The sequence below is a fragment of the Homo sapiens genome, chromosome 6, assembly GCF_000001405.40.
Source record: "Homo sapiens chromosome 6, GRCh38.p14 Primary Assembly".
Taxonomy (NCBI): Eukaryota; Metazoa; Chordata; class Mammalia; order Primates; family Hominidae; genus Homo; species Homo sapiens.
The window spans coordinates 140,586,103-140,606,690 of record NC_000006.12 but is presented as its reverse complement, the minus strand read 5'-3'; the positions used below and the strand labels follow the sequence as shown (position 1 = coordinate 140,606,690).

General features: G+C 35.8%; 2 long non-coding RNA genes across 6 annotated transcripts in view; one reads left to right on the top strand and one right to left on the bottom strand.

Moving 5' to 3' along the window:
- The window catches only part of LOC105378027 (uncharacterized), a 246,946-nt gene that overhangs the window by 178,745 nt on the left and 47,613 nt on the right, over positions 1–20,588 (bottom strand). The gene's annotated exons all lie outside the window — the stretch shown is intronic.
- Positions 4,298–4,556, top strand: LOC124901414 (uncharacterized). Its single transcript, XR_007059793.1, has 2 exons — positions 4,298–4,362; positions 4,455–4,556. It is a non-coding gene; the product is annotated as an uncharacterized LOC124901414 (long non-coding RNA).

Genomic DNA, 20,588 nt, shown 5'->3' with positions numbered 1-20,588 from the left:
GATGGGCTCCTGATCTCCCAGGCGGATCCGAATAAATGTCAAAGTTGGCAAGACCAAACCCTATTATCAAGTGCTATTGAAGCCTAGGTAGTAAATAACGGGCGATATCTGCTTGGCTGCAGGTCTCAGCCTTGAACTTCATTCTAGCTTCACCGAGAAACCTTGAATTTGTAGGGTTTAGGATAGTTCCCATCACTCTTAAATCACTTATTTTCCCTTCCATTTGTCTCAGTGTTTCCTCATACACTACTTAAAACACATTGAAGAGACAAATGGTTAATACCTCAAATTTCCAACTTAATCTATTTCTATACATTCATCTACAAATTGAGTCAAATAAATAAGGGAATTTATATGTACAGAATTTTCCTTCCAATATTGTTATAATCATAGAGAAAAAGAAAACTTTATTTATTATTCCAGGACAGGCTAAATAAATTATGATACATGCTTAAAATGTGATACTATGTATTTATTTAAAAAGCATAATGTAAATTCATATGTACTAATACAAAAAAATGTTCATTACATATTATTAAGAAAAACAGCAAGGTGGATTACAGTAAGGGTAACATGATCATTTACATAAAATATATTTATACTTATCTTGCAAGTTTGCCTCAAGGGCAGCAATTTAACTGCGGCCCGTCAAAACCAGGCAAGGTCTGTTGGGCCTAAGTAAAATAATTGGAAGTCCCGGTTGTGAATTACACGATGCATTTCATACCTAAATGCAATCACAATGTTTTAAAATTTTTAAACTACGATTGTGCTCAAACAAAACAAAATGATTTGCCTCAAACTTACACTGGGAAAATTCTGATACAGACATTCATATTCATTTAACACTTCTAGAAGTGAAAAATTATTCCTAAGAAATTCTTAGGCCGGGCGCGGTGGCTCATGCCTGTAATTCCAGTACTTTGGGAGGCCCAGGCGGGCGGATCACGAGGTCAGGAGATCGAGACCATCCTGGCTAACACGCTGAAACCCCGTCTCTACTAAAAATACAAAAAATTAGCCGGGTGTGGTAGCGGGCGCCTGTAGTCCCAACTACTCCGGAGGCTGAGGCAGGAGAGTGGAATGAACCCGGGAGGCGGAGCTGGCAGTGAGCCGAGATCGCGCCACTCTGCACTCCAGCCTGGGCGACAGAGCGAGACTCCGTCTCAAAAAAAAAAAAAAAAAAAAAAAAAAAAAATTTTAACAGAAATTACTATTTTGGAATGGAGCAAAGATGGTGAAAGGTAACCTTAATTTTACACTACGTACTCTTCTGTGTAGGTTTGCATTTATTTACTGTGGGCATGTATTTCTTTCTTCTGAAAAGGCTAATGTAAACAAATATATATAAGAAGCCAACGAAAAACCTGTCTTAATACTTCAAATATATGCAACATGCATTTTTCATAAAAATAGGAAATAGTTATGTTTTGACACTCCCACTCCAGCAATATCTAACTACATATATTTCAACATATGTTCATCTACTAAGTTTTACTATAATATGCTGAGGTTTTAATTACATATAAAATATTTATAATATGTCATATGACTTTGCACATATTTTTTATACATGATGTTACTTCACCTGAATTTTTCTTCCATCTCGCTTCTTAATATCTGGTAAACATATGTTCATTCTTCTCAAACTTGCATAGGAGATTTTCTTATATTATTCCAAGCTCTCCTCTCCCCCAATAGTGGTGACTCAGTTCCTCTCCTGTACCGTTTACTTATGCTACATACTTTTATCATGTATACATCGCATTGAGTTATTTATCATAATGTTTATTCTCTCTCTTCTATACTCTGAAATTTCCTTGAGATCAGAAATAACACTTTATTTTTCTTAATATCACTAGTGCCATGCAGAATGCCAGAAACAAAATTGGCTCACCATACATTTTTTAACTGACCTGAGAGAAAACATTTCATATTTTTGTCAGTCTGTAAATCATCCCTACAGTATAGAAGAATAGTAATGACTGCTATTTATTGAGGACTTACAACAACATTTCTTATGTATTTGATATGCATTAACTTATATAAGACTTAGAGAAACTCTAAAGATATTATTATGATTACTAAGCTCATTTTTTAGATGAGGAACTTGAGATTTTGAGTCATTAATTTTCTTGGCCAAACTATGATCTAGAACTTAATTATGATATCCTTAGTTTAAGATTTGAACCTAAAATAAAGAGAATCATGCAATTACCTTAAGATTCAAGAAAGCATAAACTAAAAGTAATGCTTTACATTCTATTTCTTCAGGTTTAGCAATCAAGTAGAAACAAAACCCCCAATGAATATAAATGAATTAGCTTATAAATACATATATATGTATATATACACACATATATATACACACATATATGACTATATTATAGTATTTTTTATGATGCTGAGACATATATACACACATGTGTGTATACATATATACATATGTGTATATATATAGACACACACATATATATGTGTGTATTTATATAGACACACACACATATATATGTGTGTATATGTCTCAGCATCATAAAAAATACTATAATATAGTCATTAATTATTGGAACGTGTGTATTAGAAAACATAGCTTGCCCAAGAAGACAGCATAGAAGATAAACAAAGCAAATTACCGATTTTAATACTTTTAACTCTAAAGAGATATAAATCCACAAGGACTAAAGATATCTCAAATTATGCTTTTCAAGAAGGAGCATCACAGGAGCCCCAAAACAGGAAACCTCACATATACAGTTTATAAATATTATTTTTAAAAATATAAACCTATCAAGAATCATAGAAAAATGAAATGTTCTAAAGCAAGAAGAATCAGCCACTGATTTAGTTATAGTATCATCATATCAGAAAAAAGAGGAAAAGACTTAGAAATCAATTTTATTAGAGCATTTAAATTTTATTAATAGAAATATGTAGTTTAACAAAATGGAAATTTGCAAATTAAAAAAATATGTCTGTGGCCATAAACCTGTGTTTAAAAAGCAGGAGAAAAGAAGAAATTATTTCCAATCTCCACCCTAGTATTATTTAATATAAAAATCCTGTGAAATATAATTCCCTTACACTCTGAAAAAGAATATAAAATACTTTCCAGCGTAGAAATTCATATACTTGAACTTGAGTAAGGAATTACAATTCCCTGCTTTAAAGAAGAGTTACAACTTTATCATCTTCTCTGTCTGTATTGATCCCAATTGGATAGTTATTGTCAGTGGTGATGTAAAGGTATAGGTAAAAACTTCATTGCCATTAATTGCTAATTGTAAATATAAAGACACACAGGAAAATTCAGAATGTCACTATGCCTTGTTCTTCCGTACATTTATGTAAGAAGAAAGCACCCCGTGAGAAAGGCACCATTCTCTACTAAATGACCTGCTTGGGGCCTTAAGACTCATGGTCTCCAAGCTGTTTAGTGGCCTGTGTCAAAAAAATTACTTGTTTCAGTCCAATTTCTCTCAATTCAATAACCCCTAAGCCTCTCAAAACAAAGCAAAGTTAAAATGATTTTCAATTGCTTTGGACTAGGATGTGTCAGGCAGTCACCACCATTTCACGAACATCAATAGAAGAAAGCACTCACCCTTAAACCTTTCTCTTTTTCTCATTAATCAAAATTCCAATGAGCTGATTTCTTTTTTAGTCTGCTCTAGAAGAGATTTATGAGAAATGGGATTTTTCTGACTCATGACTTTGAGCTAAGTACTCTGGATATATATTCCAGAGAAAAACAACACAGCTAATCATCCCACTTAACTCTAAATAATATGCCCTTGATTACGAATTGTATTCCAAAAGTCCAGCAATCAAGAAACTTGAGGAAAATGAGAGCATGGCTTTCTGTTCTCGACTCTATTTCTTTGTGAATGGTTTTACTTTCTGTGGTTTATTTAGTCATACATTCTAATATAAGTTCATTGTGTCAGAAAGGTAAAATCACAAGAATTAAGGAAGGAGGATTTCACCTACTCAGCCGCCTGTCGTCATCTGTCAACTTTCTACCCATTCATCACCTAGCCTGTCACACTTGACATAAGCTTCTGAAGGGATGGGCGAAAGGGAGGCAGGAGAGACTGGATAAATGTCTTCATGATCATCTTTAGCAATGTCAGGAGCTCAGCACTCTCAGTATTTTAGACTTGCCTGTGACAGCTTTTCCACTAGCACTGAAGCTGCATTCCAAATTGATATTTGTGGTGGTGTGGATTCTGGGCTAGAGCAGTGCCTTAGGCAAGCCAAATTCTGCAGTTTGATACCAGTAAACAATATGATCTCTCTTTGTGTTTATGTGGATGTGCTGGAGTGGAATGAAGGGAGGATAACTTCAAATGACAGTTGCCACAGGTGATTAATTTTTTTTTTGTCTTTTACACATTTACTCTGCCTACTCTAATTTAAATTGGTGTCCCTAATGATCTTTTCATTTTGCACAAAAGCTGAAGAGATGCTTTCACTCATGAAACAAATAAGCAAGCAGGATGCCATCCATGAAGATGATGCTTCTGACTCACTGTAAAAATAAAAAAATACGTATACTATGAGGTGTTTCCTCTTTATTGACATCTACCTGATCAGCCCATTTGTGACCAACAAATGCAATTATGAGGTGAGACAGCTGATGGAGAAAGAGGTGAGATGCCAGTAAGACGGGATATGGAGAGACGCAACATAAAAGTTTTAGGAGAAAAAGCCAGACCGAGCCCAGAGAGCAGAAAATATGCTCCAGCTCAACGTTGCTAATTGTAATCAGGAAAAAGTAAATTAATCTCACCGTGGCTCAGTGACAAAGGGGATAATAAATGAATGCTACTGCAAAAGGATACCATAAATTATGACAATGCTTATGAAAGTATTTAAAAGTTACAAAGTATTATTCAAGTACTAGTTAAATATTGCTTATAATTATCTCATATCAAAGGGAAGCCAATGGACTGATAATTGAGCTTTTAAACTTTGCCTTGGGAATCAGAGAGAATACAAAATCTCATGTTTTATTAACTTCACTCTGTTTTCTTATGGTCTAATCTTAGTCATCTTTTAGGTTTCCATTTTGGGATATATGTAAACATGAAAGCAGTGGGATTAGTATATATCAAAATATTTAAGCAATGCATATTTAGAGAAGTTGGCAGCACAGAAATGAGCAACTTTTAAGAGTAATTTTAGCCATCTCATGGGAAAATTACAATAATAAAGTAAAACAATGCTAAATAAAGATTTTCAAGGATAATGGCCGCTCAAATCACAATTCATTTTTATGACCTGAATTTACAAGTTTTTTTTAAAACAAAAAACCCTACATTTTTAATTTTATTGCAGAAATATCCTTTAGAATTTATGATTCTAATGGAAAATATCAGGATTTTTCACTTTCTCTTTACTCAGTCAATAGTCAGGGGCTGTACCGTGATTACCTGACATACATTCAAACAAATGTGAGCTCCCACATTGATCTATCACTCTCTGGGGAGAAGAGCTCTCAGAAGCTCTGTTTCTGAATAACAAGGTGAGAGTGAGTCGGTACAAACCTCATTTGAAAGAAAATGTCAGATTTGGAATAGAGAAACAACAGAAATATCACAGCCTTCCTTAGAAGATACACAGGGCTGCATTTCCTAAAGTATGTCCTCTAGACACACTCTATTAGAAAATCTGATGAGCATGTATAGCCAAAGTGTTTACTGCTGCTGACTGCCCAAATCCATTCTTAGAGGAAAAGCATTGAAATGCAGATAACCTTAAGTTGTATCCAAAATATATTTATAATTTGAAACTCAAAGTTGAGCAATGACTTCTTTGTTGTACCTAGACAATACCCTGTCTGCCTTCTGTAGAAATGCATGACATTTATTCAATTGGTGGGAACCCCCAGGGTAAAAAAGAGCTCAGAAAATAAAACACTGATCAATTATTTTTCATTTCCCAAAATATTTTCCTTTTTATACCCCAAAACATCTTACCTGGACCAATATTTTAGCTTATGAACTACCTACCTCCAGCTTCTCCTTAGTCCAAATCATCATCAGGCCATTAATAGTCAGATTTGGATTTTCAAAACCCACCTCTGATCATGACTCTTGTTCTAAAAACTTTTGGAGGTTTTCCAATGCTTACACACGCACACACACACACACACACACACACACAGAGCCTTCACAAGGCACATGATAACATCGCAGCAATGTTTTTATCCTTAGTTCCCATTAATCCTTCATATATAAACTCACACTACAGTCAGACAAAACCACCTATTTTCTTTCTAACACTACCTGGGTTTTTCTTGTCTCTTCACACTGCTTTATTCTTCTGAAATGTTCTTACTCTTCTATCTCTGGCTGGTTGAAATTTTACATATCCTTCAAGTTCTATCTCAAAGATTAAACACTCAGTTTTCTGCCTGAATATCATTTCTCAGTATCCCAAATTTCCTTTAAAATACTCAGGAAAACTCAAAAGCATTTGGTAATCCTCCACAGTGGCTCTCAGTAGTAGAAGCCAAACTAACTAGAATACGGGAAGGATTTTCATCAGTTACAAGACATACAACTCTAAGTGTCATTCCAATTTGGCAAGAAATGCTGGCTTGCTTGCTGTCATTTGAGGAACACCACATTGCAGAGCCTACAGAATGGAAGCATTTGTCTCCACCCTCTTGAAAATCCTCCTTGTTAAGACCTAGATTCTTCAAATTTGTGGGGTTTTTTACATTGCATTTTATTATTTTTTAATAACAAAATCTATTAATCTTTTAATGGCCAAATACTTTAATTGTATTTTATTTTCTTAAATGGATTATCATTTCCAGAAAATTGGGGAGGGGAGGTGGTCAGGAAGAAGGAGAAGGGATGGGTGGTGAGGCAAAGATTCTGCTGTAGTATAATCCAAACAGTGTGGAGTTGGTGGGAGGGCTTCAAGAAACAAGAAGTGGGAACAAATTTTCTGAGGAGGAGCCATATTATGTCAACTCTAGGTCAAGGTTTCAGACAAAAAAGTGATTAGAAATTATATACATATGTGTGTGTGTGTGTGTGTGTGTGTGTGTGTGTAGAATATAAATGCATTAAATTAACATTTAAAAAACAATTGGAAATTTGACCAAGAACTACATCTATGAACCTGCCTCTCAGCTGTAGATCCGAGACAAAAAGTATACCAAATGTTCAAGTGCAGGTGTGTAGTTTGTTTCTTTTAACTGCATGATAAAAATGATTTAGCTCTGTTTTTGGGAATCAAGGACATTGTGTGAAATGAATTTTGTATAACTGTTTTTTGCTTACTATGTAGGTCTGTAATGCACATTATAATACACAATTTATGCTCATGTTTGATGCCATAAGATTTACTACATTTCTGCTGAATTTATCCGATAACCCTCCCCAATTGAATTGAATGGTGAATAGTAGAATAAAGATATGCCACCTATTTTTCCTTCCATCAATTCTAGACAGGATTTTCCCATTTTTAGGACAGGTGAAAAGGAAAATAACTTGAATGGGACCTGTGAAAAGTACTGACTATTCAGAAAATTATGTTGTAAACTTTTTGGATATGTCCAACTCTAACACACAGGTAAATAACTGAGAATTATATAAACATTAATCCTCAAAACAAGCATTTGGTTGGGACACATTAGAAACAAGATACTGTCCTAAAATATACAAGTTGTTATGAATGGCTAAGGTAGTTGCTATCCCATCAAAAAGATATTTTAGAATAAAATGTTCTAAAACAAAGCAATACAGTCATAGCATTCTCAGCAAATTAACAGACAAGCTAGTAGAGATTTCAATGAATACTAGGAAATGTAGCTATTGGTATAATAGTTAATGAGCCTCATATAAAAGAGTATGTAAGTCAGCGATAAAAGGTAAATCATAAGCGGTTTTAAAGGGAGAAAAATAAGTTACAAAAGTATGTGAAAAAAAGCAATCAGTGGATATAAATACTGAGCTATTAATAAAATAATCAATAAAATTATGTACCAAATGTATTCAAAAAAATTTTTCTCTTCTAAAAAAAAAACGGGATACACGTGCAGAACATGCAAGTTTGTTACATAGGTATACATGTGTCATGGTGATTTGCTGCACCTATTGACCCACCCTCTAAGTTCCCTCCCCTCACCCCCACGCCCAGCAGGCCCTGGTATGTGTTGTTCCCCTCTCTGTGTCCATGTGTTGTTCTCATTGTTCAACTCGCACTTATGAGCGAGAACATGCAGTGTTTGGTTTTCTGTCCCTGTGTTAGTTTGCTGAGGATGATGGCTTCCAGCTTCATCCATGTCTCTTCAAAGGACATGATCTCATTCGTTTTTATGGCAGCATAGTATTCCATGGTGCCTATGTACCACATTGTCTTTATCCAGTCTATCATTGATGGGCATTTGGGTTAGGTCATGTCTTTGCTATCGTAAATAGTGCTGCAATAAACATTTGTGTGCATGTGTCTTTGTAGCAGAATGATTTAATTCCTTTGGGTATACAGCCAGTAATGGGATGGCTGGGTCAAATGGTATTTCTGATTATAGATCCTTGAGGAATTGCCATATTGTCTTCCACGTTACCTGACTTCATGCTACCTGACTTCAAACTGTAGTACAAGGCTACACTAACCAAAGCAGCGTGGTACAGACATATAGACCAATGAAGCAAAACAGAGACCTCAGAATGCCACACATCTACAACCATCTGATATTTGACAAAACTGTCAAAAACAAGCAATGGGGAAAGGATCTCCTACTCAGTAAATGGTGCTGGGAAAACTGGCAAGCCATATGCAGAAAATTGAAACTGAACCCTTTTCTTACATCTTATACAAAAATTAACTCAAGATAGATTAAAGACTTAAATATGAAACCTAAAACCATAAAAACCCTAGAGAAAAACCTAAGCAATACCATTCAGGACATAGGCATGGGCAAAGACTTCACGCCAAAAATGCCAAAAGCAACTGCAACAGAAGCCAAAATTGACAAATGGGATCTAATAAAACTAAAGAGCTTTTGCACACGAAAACAAACTATCATCAGAGTGAACAGGCGACCTACAGAATGGGAGAAAATTTTTGCAATCTACCCATCTGACAAAGGTCTAATTTCCAGAATTTATAAGGAACACAAACAGATTTACAAGAAAAAAAAAAACAACCCCATCAAAAAGTAGGCAAAGGATATGAAGAGACACTTATCAAAAGAAGACATTTATACATCCAACAAATGTGAAAAAAAGCTCAACATTACTGATCATCAGAGAAATGTAAATTAAAACCACAGTGAGATAACATCTCACACCAGTCAGAATGGCAATTACTAAAAAGTCAGGAAACAAAAGATGCTGGTGAGGCTGTGGAGAAATAGGAATGCTTTTACACTGTTGATGCGAATGTAAATTAGTTCAACCACTGTGGAAGACAGTATGGCAATTTCTCAGAATTTTAAAAATATGGCATCTGGGGAACTGTTTTGCCATATATACAAAGCTAGTTTAGAGACAAGAGGAAAGGCTAGAAATAAGCAGACATTTTTCTAAATAAAGAAGTGTAAACGCCAATGTTCCTTATGGAATAGTGCCAGTATACCCCTTATTTAATGTTTTTATAAATGATTTAGAGAAAAAGTACATAAGAGAAGCCTGAAGTTTGTGGAAAACTTTTCTGTGTAATGCAAAGCTTTGCTGGATCTAAGTGATCTAAGGAACAGTTTGTAATTTGAGTTATAAATGGCAAATTCATTTTAATCTGGGGCAGTGTACTTTTAAAAATATAATATAATGTATATGTAGAAGATATGAGTCTTGAAAACACCCATTTTCACATAGGTTATGAGCCTTGGAATATTATACTCATATCCTTCAAGACAGCAGGAAGTAGAGATTATTGCTTTCAAATGTAACTATCAAATACCTATCATCATCAAGCAACTTGGAATGGATTAGTATATTTAGTGGAAAACTAAATATACTAATTTTGCATTTACAAAGTGCTAAAGCCTATATAGCACTGTGAATCAGGGTTACAAAGATTATTATTTTCAGTTATCTGGATTTCTCAGTAGCATTTGGCACAGCTTATCATTCTATCTCAGAAATGCTCTGATTACCTGACATCAGAGACATAAAACTCTCTTGGTTTTTCAGCTCACTTTCTGGACTCTATCTCAAAGTCTTCATAGTCACTTTTCCCTCTACTTTGTGGCTTTGGAAAACTGTAAGTTTCTATTACCTGGAACTCCACAGAAGGCCATTTTTGTACTCAACCTGTACCCTCTCCTTAGGTTTCCTTCCACTGCCATAACTTTAAATACCATGAATATGCATATAACTCACATTTTATTCCAGATTTCTCTTCTGAATTCTGGAGCATGTATTGAAGTATCTACTTGGTATCGTCACTTGATGTCTCATAAACATCACAAACATAGCATGCATGAGACCTAACCTTCAATGGCCCCCATCCCAAACATATTTCTTTTCTGCTCTTCCTTATCTGAGCAACAGACTTGACCTCATATCCAGCGCTCATGGCAGAAACCTGGGAAGCATTCTTGAAACAAATCTCTTATCACCCACCTTCATTCCATCCTTGCTTGGGTGAATTTTGATTAAAATGTTCCCTTCTTTCCATTTTATTCCAGGTAACTTGAACTTTTTAAAAAAGCCTTCTAACAGATCTGTCTGGTTCTATTTATATCTCTCTCTAATCCTCTATTTAAACAGAAGGAAAAGTGATATTTTTAAAAGATATAATAAATGTAGCTCTCCTTAAAAATCTAGCGTCCTTAAAATAAATTAATACATCAAGCACTTTCTGCTTATAGTACAGCTTGATCTATTCTATTGTTGCATTTTTATTTTCATTTCCACTGTTTTTTATTGAAAGAATATTGGGTTATTTCTATTTCTGGACAGCATCAAATCCTTTTAAGTTCAAACATGTTATTATTTCTACCTGTTGTCCCATTCTTCTGCTCAGCCTTTCTCCCAGTCTTTCCCTCTCCCAGGACAAACAACCACCTGTCAACATCTACTCACCCATTTCATCTTAGATTCAATTCATTTTTCACTTAGAGACCATTCCTCTGACACCACTACTTGATTTACACCCCTCTGTTACTACTTTGATAGCATTTTTAAAGTTATCTTTCATGCAAATTGTGGGAGTTATACAGATATTTAGTTAATTATGTGTATGGAGACTGTAATAGTCCATTTTTACACTGCTGATAAGGACATATCCGAGACTGGGCAATCTACAAAAGACAGAGGTTTAATTGGACTTACAGTTCCACATAGCTGGGGAGACCTCACAATCATGGTGGAAGGCAAGGCAGAGCAAGTCACATCTTACGTGGATGGTGGCAGGCAAAAAAAAGAGCTTGTGCAGAGAAACTCCCATTTTTTAAAACCATCAGATCTCATCAGACCCATTCACTCTCACAAAAACAGCATGGGAAAGACCTGCCCTCATGATTCAATTATCTCCCACCAAGTCCCTCCCACAACACCTGAGAATTATAGGAGCTACAAGGTGAAATTTGGGTGGGAACACACAGCCAAAACATATCATTATCATTCCATCCCTGTCCTCTCCCAAATCTCATATCTTCACTTTTTAAAACCAATCATTCCTTCCCAAGAGTCCCCCAAAGTGTCAACTCATTTCAACATTAACTCAAATGTCCACAGTCCAAAGTCTCATCTGAGATAAGGCAAATCCTTTCTGCCTTTGAACCTGTAAAGTCAAAAGCAAATTAGTTACTTCCTAGATACAATGGGGGTACAGGCATTGGGTAAATATAGCCATTCCAAAGAGGAGAAATTGGCCAAAACAAAGGGGATACAGGCCCCAGGCAAGTCCAAAATCCAGCGGGGCAGTCAAATTTTAAAGCTCCAAAATTATCTCCTTTGACTGCACGTCTCACATCCAAGTCACACGGATGCAGGAGGTGGGTTCTCATGTTCTTTGGCAGCTCTGCCCTGTGGCTTTGCAGGGTACAGCTTCCCTCCTGGCTGCCATCACAGGCTGGTTTTGAGTGTCTGTGGCTTTTTCAGGTGCACAGTGCAAGCTGTCAGTGGACCTACCATTCTGGGGTCTGGAGGATGGTGGCCCTCTTCTCACAGCTCCACTAGGCAGTGCCCCAGTAGGGACTCTGTGTGGGGGCTCCCACCACACATTTCCCTTCTACACTGCCCTAGCAGAGGTTCTCCATGAGAGCCCTGGCCCTGCAGCAAACATCTGCCTGGGCATCCAGGTGTTTCCATACATCTTCTGAAATCTAGGCAGTGGTTTCCAAACCACAATTCTTGACTTCTGTGCACTCGCAGGCCCAACATCATGTGCAAGCTGCCAAGGCTTGAGGCTTGCACCCTCTGAAGCAACAGCCTGAGCACTACATTGGCCCCTTTCAGCCATGACTGGAGTGGCTGGGATGCAGGGCACCAAGTCTGTAAGCTGCACACAGCACAGGGACCCTGAGCCTGGCCCACGGAACCACGTTTTTCTCCTAGGCCTCCAGGCCTATGATAGGAGGGACTGCCATTAAGACTTCTGACATGCCCTGAAGACATTTTCCCCATTGTCTTGGGGATTAACATTTGGCTCCTGGTTACCTATGCAAATTTCTGCAGCTGGCTTGAATTTCTCCTCAGAAAATGGGATTTTCTTTTCTAATGCATCGTCAGGCTGCAAATTTTCCAAATGTTTATGCTCTGCTTTTCTCATAAAACTGAATGCCTTTAACAACACCCAAGTCACCTTTTGTATGCTTTGCTGCTTAGAAATTTCTTCCGCCAAGCTGAGTGTGGTGGCTCACGCCTGTAATCCCAGCATTTTGGAAGGCCAAGGCAGGTGGATCACCTGAGGTGAGGAGTTCAAGGCCAGCCTGGCCAACATGGTGAAACTTCATCTCTACTGAAAAATACAAAAAATTACCTGGGCATGGTGGCAGGCACCTGTAATCCCACCTACTTAAGAGGCTGAGGAGGAGAATCACTTGAATCTGAAAGGCAGAGGTTGCCGTGAGCCGAGATCACACCACTGCACTCCAGCCTGGGCAACTGAGCAAGACTCAGTCTCAAAAAAAAAAAAAAAAAAAAAGAAAAAGAAAAAGAAATTTCTACCACCAGATACCCTAAATCATCTCTCTAAAGTTCAAAGTTCCACAAGTCTTTAGGGCAGGGGCAAAATGCCACTAGTCTCTTTGCTAAAACATAACAAGAGTCATCTTTGTTCCAGTTCCCAACAAGTTCTTCATCTCTGTCTGAGACCACCTCAGCCTGGACCTTATTATTCATACCACTATCAGCATTTTTGTCAAAGTCATTCAACAAGTCTCTGAGAAGTTCCAAACTTTCCCACATTTTCCTCAACCTCTGTCTGTTACTCAGTTCCAAAGTCACTTCCACATTTTCGGGTATCCTTTTAGCAATGCCCCACTCCCAGTATCAATTTACTGTGTTAGTCTGTTTTCACACTGCTGATAAAGACATACCAGGGACTGGGCAACTTACAGAAGAAAGAGGTTTAATTGGACTTACTGTTCCATGACTGGGGAGGTCTCACACTCATGGCAGAAGGCAAGGAGGAGCAAGTCACATCTTACATGGATGGCAGCAGGCAAAAAAAGAGCTTGTGCAGAGAAACTCCCATTTTTTAGAACCATCAGATCTCATGAGACCCATTTACTTTCATGAGAACAGCATGGGAAAGACCCACCGCCATGATTCAGTTTTCTCCAATCAGGTCCCTCCCAGAACATATGGGAATTACGGGAGCTACAACATGAGATTTGGGTGGGGACACAGAGCCAAACCATTCAGAGACTGACTCACAGCCCTGTGCTATCAAGATAAAGCTCAATGTTCTGTGAAGTAAGAATTCAGTCTATATTTTTACTGTTGATTTCATATGATCTAAGTCAGTTTTTAATGAATGCTTAAGACATTTAAAAATTTCTATGTTATAAATTTTATTTAATGTGTGACCCTAATAAAATGGGCATGAGCTAAGTCAACAACAAATCAGAGAACAGTGCAAAGGAGGCATTCCCTTCATAGATTTATGCTGAATAAATGTAATTACTGCTTCACGCTTGTAAATTTAGGAAACGTCAATTAATTTACTATTTCATACAAAAGGTAAAAATTTCATGAAATGTATTACTTCCAAGAGATTGTAAAGGCTAAAGTATGGATAGGTACAACAACAGATCAGCTTTATTTATGGAAGAAAATCTATAGGTTACTAAGGAAAATAAGAATGTTTCGAGAATCACCTGGGATTTGATTTGATGTAGGTATTTTAATCTTTCAAAACAAATGCATTTTAATTTCAAAATTATATATGTTCATTTTTACCTGACATTCCCAATTCTAATAAATTCAATTTGGCTTGACGCTAATACACTGATGTTTAAAGACATCTTAGCCTGTGACCTAGACTATTCTCCAGTTGTAGCACATCTGTTTCATCAAATCCCATTGTTAGTAACAATTTTTCAAATTTCTGTGGAAAATGGTTTCCTGAAATTTTCTGTCATACCAATTAACAGAAAATGCATAGTTTTTTGTTTAACCTTCTGTCTTACCTATTGACTGTAGGAGCTGTAAGACAAAAATGGTGTATTTCTCACTCATTATTTTATTTCTAACATCTATCTAAAACAGTGCTTGAAACAAAATAGATATTTCTTAACTTAGTAAATACAGTCAAGCAAGAAGAGATGGTTCTAGTCTCTTAAGAGAACAATTTATATAAATATTGCTGTAGTGCAACTCAAATTAGTTAAACATCTCAAGCATATCAAAGAATCATATAATTTATGCTGAATAATAATCATTGACACTATATTTTATAAGCAGAGTAGGATCAGATATAAATTTTACTGTGGAATTTAAATAAATGAAAAAATCAAGTAAAACAACTTGGTACATTTCCCTATTTTCTTCTAAAAGACCAATTAAATTGAAGACCAATTAAATTGAAGACCAATTTATATATCATGATTTCAACTTGCTTTACAAAATCATAGAAAGTTGTTAGTATTTTAGACTATTGCCCAGAGAGATCATTGAGATTGAAGAAATTTTAGTAACAAGTTAAGAAATTGGATCTTTTAAAAGATCCATATTCTACTTTAAATCTAAAACCTAAACTTTTTGTTCAGTCCACAAATGTTCTGGTGTCCTCACAGTTAATCCAAGATTGGAGTGACTTAGGGCCAATAAGATACAAATAGATAAGTTAAAATATAAACACTAACATAGATAGCACAGATATTTGCAGATAGAAGAAATCCAGAAAGCAGAAGTTGAAAGATCTAGATAACAGCAAGGTGAAATCTGATTATTCTCAATCAGAGGTTGTTTGTTCTCTTCCTTGCTTTATAAATCCTGCTGGTGTAAGCTGCATGACTTTTCAGGTAATGACTCCTCCTGTATCCAGGATGAATTGGAAGTGCTGCAAGTAAATTTGCCTTCAGTTTTAGCAGAAGAGAAGCTCCTGGGAGATCCTCATATTAAAATTTGGGTTAGTTTCTTCAGAGTTGGCAAAACAAAACAAAATAAAACCCAACACCCAAAACCTATAACAATAATATGATGAGAAACAAATTAACATTCACAAGAAATCATTTGGAATTAACACACTGCATTGCATTATTTGGTTAAATATCTATATTATTGTAATGGCTGTCACTAAACCTAATTACTGCATGTGGAAAATAACTTCATTGCTGAATCTGTCAAAATAAGCCTGGCATATTACCATATAAAGTCTATCACTACAGCTATTAAACATGAATGTGAGTAACCATTTCAGCAAAGAAATACTAGAGACTAATGATTCATCCTTACTGTAAAATTCAGGAGTGTTATGATATAAATATATTGCAAAACTCAGTTAATATGAATTTCCTGCTTTTTGTGTATACAAAATGACATTTTCAGTACATATGCATACACACATGTACATACACTCATGCATAGTGTGTATTGTGTGTGTTTATTCACATATAGTGTGTTACTTTTTTGATATAGTATATTAGTCATTTTATTAAGTCTCTTTATAAGTCTTGGGTAACAATGAAAGATTTCATGTCAGTGATGTTTGGAGAGCTAACTCTAAGACTATATTAGTTGGGGTGTCTTGATAATTGATTGCTCTTTAACAAAGGAGAATGGTATTTACCTTTAAAAGCTGAAATCATCAAACACAACATTGTTCATTATAAATGAAAGAGTACTACTGGTAGTATTGGTTATGGATGAAAACTGACCAAGTAACAACACATAAATAACACTTGTTAAAGATATACCAACATTTAAAACACATACTAATAAATTATTCCCTTGCAAGATTGTGCATGAAAATATTGATCCTATTTTGGTGACTTAAACTCCACCAAACCTTAGTTTTCTAAAGGTATATTTATGTCCTTGAGTACTATTAATTCTTGAAAGCTATCATTTATTTGCCATATTAAATAACATGTGAAAGTATTCACATTTTTAAAAGTATAACTAATAAGAGTAATTATTATCTCCCTGATAGAGTAAGAATGTAACAATAATATAACTTTCTCTTCTGTAAAGTGTTATCATAAACTGTTACAAAAGAAAAAGTTATATTATTGTTACATTCTTCCTGTTTCAGGAGGATAGTTCCAGGTTGTTCATCTGATTTTCTATTATATAGATTTCAGAATTTTCCCACAAAAAGATTTTATACTTTATGAAATTCAGAATGATCATCAGTTTGAGATTGCCAGGTGGTTGATAAAGGTGTTTCATAACCCCAGTTTTATATCTGTTTTTAGACATTTAATGAGGCATTGCCATTAGCTTATAATTAGATATGATGAATTTCAAAAAATTTTGACATTCATAAATATAAAAAATGTGTTTAAAAATTGAGAAAATATTTTCCTATGGGAAAAATAAACATAAACATATTATAAACATGGCCATTTGGACTAAGGAATTTTGGCCAGAGTAAATTGAAAGGGAAATTTAAAGTTACAAATGTGTTAATATTGTCTAAAACACAGTAGTTTACCTTTCCACATGTCATATGTATTAGGAAGGCAACTATACTTCCTTCCAGTTGCCTACCAGAAAAAAAAAGATGTTCTTTCAACCATACTTAATTGTAGAAATGTTTATGCCCAGCAGAGATATATGAGAGTGTTCATTTACCTAAAAGAATTTTGACATTTTGTGTTATTATTGTTTTTAGGCTTTGGCAGTCAGATCCATGAGAACAGATTTTGTAGTGTAAATTAAAAATTTTGATTGCATGCAAAGTTAACAAGTGTTGTATACATTTTTAATGAATGTTTTATTTTGGAATACTTTAATATTAACATAAAACTATCAAAGACCTTGCAGACTTTTCTTATACCCCACTCCCAATTTTTCCAACTTTTTATATCTTATATTACCATGGTGTATTTGTCATAATAAATGAATCAATATTAATATATAAATGAATATTAATATTAATTGATTTATATAACAAATAATATCCATGATTAAAATTATATAAATATATAATTAACAAATGTTGATATATATAACTAATATAAATAACTACCATTATTATGTTATTATATTATAAGCCACTATTATTGTTACTATTAACTAAACTCCATACTTTAGTTTTTTAGCTCTTTTCTAATGTTTTTTCATTTTTCCAGTATCTTATCTAGAATATAACGTTACATTTATTTATCATGTCTCCTTAGACTTCTTTGAGCTGTGTAATTTCTCAGATTTAATTGTTTTTGGTGATATTGACAGTTTCGAGAAATATTGGTCAGGTATTTTGTAGAATTTTTTTCAAGTGGTATTTGATTGATTTTTTAAAAAATATACTAGGGCTATGGGTTTGACTTGGAAGTCCAAAGATATAAAGTGCTGCTCTCAACACAATATTATCAGTGATAAGTGTAATTGACTGAACTTTATCACTGATGATACCAACACTGATGATACTCGTACCTGATTAAGGTAGTGTTTACCAGATTATTCAATGTATACTTATTTATCTTTATCTCCCATTTCCATGCTGTATTCTATGGGGAAAAATAATATTGATTTCCAATATATCCAATATTCCAAACACAAAGAAATGATAAATGTCTGAGATGATGGATATGCTAATTAACCTGATCTGATCACTATACATTATAGGTATCAAAAATTACAATGTACCCCAGAAATATGTACAATTATGTGTAAATTTAAAATAAAATAAAGAAATAAGTCTATTCCATACTTAAGGGGTGGCAGTTGCATTCCACCTCCTTGAGGGGGTGTATCTATATGAAGTGTTTGGAATTTATAAGAAAAATTTGTATTTTCTTCTCCAGGGATTGATTTATTGAATCACTTATATAAGTACAAATTATGGATAGTTATTTTATATTTTGGAATATAATCCAATACTACATTATTGACTTTATTTATCAAATCGTTCCACCTTAGGCCATTGGGATCTCTTTTACTGGTTCTTGTGTCCCTTATATATATCCCAATTGATATGGTTTGGCTCTGTGTTCCCACCCAAATATCATCTGGAATTATAATCCCCATAATCCCTATGTATTGAGGAAGGGACCTGGTGGGAAGGGATTGGATCATGGGTGTGGTTACCCCCATGCTGTTCTCACGATAGTAAGTTCTCACGAGATCTGATGGTTTTAGGAGTGTTTGACAGTTCCTCCTTCACACTCTTTTTCCTGCTGACTTGTGGAGAAGGTACTTTCTTCTCCTTTGCCTTTTACCATGATTGTAAGTTTCCTGAGGCCTTCCCAGCCATGCAGAAATGTGAGTCAATTAAACCGCCCTTCTTTATAAATTACCCAGTCTCAAGTATTCTTTATAGCGTGTGAAAACAACCAATGCACCAATTGTTTTGATTTTTCAGAATTTCCTTTCTTTCTGGTGTTAGAAGATGCACCCAGCCTTTTCTTGTATATTCCCTAACTCAGACATGAAATTAGCCATTTTTCCAAGAAGTCCTGGTTGCTTTAGTGGAAAATGGTGCCTGATGGGGTGTCCTTTATATGTGACCTGCCCCTTCTCTCTAGCTGCCTATACGATTTTTTATCTCTCATTGACTTTAGGTAATGTGATAACTATACATGTTGAGAAGCGTTGTCTTGTACAGCATCTTGCAGGATTTCTCTGGAAGTCCTGAATTTGCATGTTGACCTCTCTAGTGAGGGTGGGAAAATTTCTATGGACAATATCTTCAACTATGTTTTTCAAGTTGCTTGCTCTCTGTCCATCTCTTTTAGGAATGCTAATTATTCATGGTTTCTGTCTCTTAGCATAATCCCATATTTCTGAGAGGTTTTGTTCATTTTTAAAATTCTTTTTTCTTTAAATTTTTGTCTGCCTACATTGATTTGAAAAAGCAGTCTTTGAGCTCTGTGATTCTTCTTCATCTTGGTCTATTCAGTTATAAATGGTTCCAATTGCACTTCGAAATTCCTATAGTGAAATTTTCATTTCTACAAGTTCAGTTTGGTTCTTTCTTAAAATGGCTATGTCATCTTTCAACTTTTGAACTGTTTTACTGTCTTCCTCGAATTAGATTTCAACCTTTTCCTGTAACTCAAAAAGTTTCCTTGCCATTCTAATTTTGAATTGTATCTGTCATTTCAACCATTTCAGTATGATTAAGAACCACTGCTGGGGAGCTAGTGTGGTTGCATGGAGGTTAGAAAACACTCTGGTTTTTAGAGTTGCCAGTGTTCTTGCACTGGTTATTTGTCATCTGCGTGGGGTTATGTTCCTTTAATCTTTGAAGTTGCTGGCTTGGATGGGACTTTTTCTTTTATATTCTTTGATGCCCTTGAGGATTCAACTATGGTGTAAGTTGGGTTTAGTCAATTGGCTTTGTTTCTGGATGCTATTATGGGCCAAGGCTCAGCTCAGCACTCCTGGCCTGCATACTCTAACCCTGACAGGCTGGGACCTGGCCTGCTTGTTTATTCTCTGGCCACTTGAGGTTAAACACCTGCTGCACTGGAGGGGCTGACATGTTCCCAATTGTTCCCACTGGCAAGAACACTCCAACACGGGCTGCCAGCAGAAGCACTCTGGTGAGGTGGCAGAGGTGGCAGTGGGTTTACATGCATATGCATGCTGGAAAGGATGGGAGAGGAGGTTGTTGCAGGCAAATGCACGCTGCCAGGGAAAGCTGTAGGCAGGTGTGTGCTGGTGGGGGAAGACAGCAAGTGGGTATGCACTTGCAGGGGTCTGTCTATAAAAGTAATCCCATGAGTAGGCAGCTCTGCCAGAGAAAGAGCTATGGCAGTGGCTGCTGGCAAGCTGAGGCTGTGCTGTAAACAGGTTCAGCCAGGGAGGGACCCTGGAAGAAACTGTCAGTCAGCGGCGTGCTCAGATCAGAGTGGCCTCATCCCATGGCCAAGATTGCACTGTTCTATCCAGGTCTAGCAGCTATCAAAGGCTGAAACTGCCTAGAAAAGTATGGTGAGACCTGGGGGATGGGTGCCCATGGCCATGCAGTGCTGCAGCCATTCCTGTGCCAAAACTTCTTGGCTCTGC